This window comes from Homo sapiens, chromosome 22, assembly GCF_000001405.40.
Source record: "Homo sapiens chromosome 22, GRCh38.p14 Primary Assembly".
NCBI classification, from domain to species: Eukaryota; Metazoa; Chordata; class Mammalia; order Primates; family Hominidae; genus Homo; species Homo sapiens.
Genome location: NC_000022.11, coordinates 34,414,637 through 34,416,889, shown reverse-complemented (window position 1 = coordinate 34,416,889; position 2,253 = coordinate 34,414,637). Strand labels below are relative to the sequence as shown.

General features: G+C 40.3%; 1 annotated feature.

Annotated features, from left to right (window-relative positions):
* Positions 1,808-1,957: a silencer, noted in NCBI's record as "silent region_13651". NCBI's record gives its function as "represses an Ori minimal core promoter by ATAC-STARR-seq in GM12878 lymphoblastoid cells {active_cell/tissue: GM12878}" and the evidence as "EXISTENCE:reporter gene assay evidence [ECO:0000049][PMID:35858748]".

The window sequence follows — 2,253 nt, the reverse complement described above, 5'->3', positions numbered from 1 at the left end:
AGGAAATACTATTTCCAAGACAAATTGTTGAACCATCTGTCCTCTCCTTACTTGAGGAATGTCTTTGCTGCCTAAGTGGTGGGGAGGTGACAATTCATGACCAATCTGCTTTGTTAGGATTTGGATGTGACATCACTCTGTCTGCTGAGCCCACAATAGTCACAATCTCAATGGTCCTTAGGACCTGATTACACTAATTACACAACATCCTTTTGTAGAGGAAATGAGGATTTGAACTAAATGTGAGGGATCCCAACAGGGCGGGTGGCTTTAAAAGTGTGATGTTATCACGTGTGCTATGCAAATTGCATTTGGGTTGAAATACGAGTTCTCTTCGCCTGACTCAAAAGCGCTGGGTGAAAACATCAGAGTTACTGTAAAATATGGTGACATGCCAGAGCTCACACATTATGCTGAGAGGCCTCTGATACATGATACAGCAAAGGCACTTCCCCTTTATTCTTTTATTCAGCGTTTGAGGGAGTTGCCAATCTAATAATAAATTCTTCTTCCCAGGAAGAAGACACCAAAAGAGGACAAAACAGCATTTTTGATTAAAAAAAAAAAGTGTGTGTGTTAAGAGAGGAAATCGTTTTGCATTTTTTCAGCTCCTTCTACAGAAGGCAGTAGCACTGGAAAAACACACACTCATTTATTGTCACAGCAGCAGAACAGCAGGGACTCCTCATTGTCTGTTTTTCTAAGGATGGAAAATGGAGCCACAGGAGAGTTCTTGAGTACAGCAAGACAGAGCAGGGACAAGATTGTAGAAATAGGATGTCCCTCCTGGAACCAGTAAGATTTTGGGAGGACAGCATCATTTGAAAGGACAAAAGAATGGCCAGTCTGACTGCCAAGACATATTCTGTTTTGTATAGAATGAGATGACTCACTTGTGATAATTTGAAAAACCTAAATAAATGGTTTCTAAACTTTTTAAAATTACTTAGCCAGTAAGTTTAAAAAAAAATTTAGGGAATGAATCCCCAACACATTTATTCCTGTTCTTTCCTCTCCATTTGTGAGGAAAAGATAAACTCCCTGAGGACAAATACTTTGCCTTATTCAATACTGCAGCTGAAGTGCCTAGAACGGTGCTTGGGGCATAGTGAGTGCCCAATAAATACCTTTTGAATGAAATAATAAACACATAAATAAATGCATGTATATTTATGTATGAATTGTATCCACATACTCAAACTAATGTATATTCATGTAGCAAAATACTATGCAAATTTTAATGCATATCAGAAGATGGAAACATTTAAATAAAGAGATACAAATAAATATGAACAGTAGTTCTTGTGATTTGTTTCCCCCGTACTTGCCCCAAAATATTACCATCTACTTCACTTTGGACTGGATGTAAAATTATTTTTAAACTTCAGTGTGAATATGAATTGCCAGGGAAGCCTTTTTAAAATGCATATTTTTATCTAGCCCTTCCCTCTCTCATTCCTCAACCTTTGCCTTCAGATTCTGATTTAATAGGTCTGGTAAAGCAAAGCTTGGAAATTGTATTTTTAACAAGCTCCAAGAAAATTGTGATGCAAGTAGACTTGGAATTACACTTCACACAAAACCTATTGTAAGAAAAAGTGTTGACTACCTGGGGCCTAAATCACTACATGTGCAAGCCCCTGCAGTGAGTTTGCTTTACCTTCCAGGATGATGCAGTTTTTTGGAGCTTGGCTTTTCAAATAGAAACACACACACACATACACACACCTTCTCCACAGTGTTTTGTACCCTAAGCGTCAAAACAAAAATCTAAGCTCACCTACAGCAATGTCTTGAGCGGTTTGGGTACCAGAGACATCTCAAAACCATGGACAGCTCCCAGGAACTTACCAGCCACCCACTTACCATAGCCTCCTAGGCATCATTCCCTGTTGTCTGCTGCCCCCTATCTGGGGTGTGCAAAGCAGCACATGTGCCTGTAAAATGGTGGAGTCAAGGCTCTGCTCCCTAAGACCCCAAGAGAACCTACACTGTACCTGAAGGACATCATAGTGGCCTCTCAATCTCCATCTACCTTGTGTCTTCTCGAGTGCTTCCTTCTCCAGAATGCTGTTGGCACTGAGCAGCAGTTCACACCAGCATAATTCATGGCCACACACAAAAATCATAATATGAAGGGAGTACCCAAAATATTACTATCTACTTCATTGGCAGATGAGAAGTAGACAGTGGGTGAGAGAACAGCACCCCAAGTGGGGGAACTGGTTGATCAAGGACATGGTGGCAAAACAA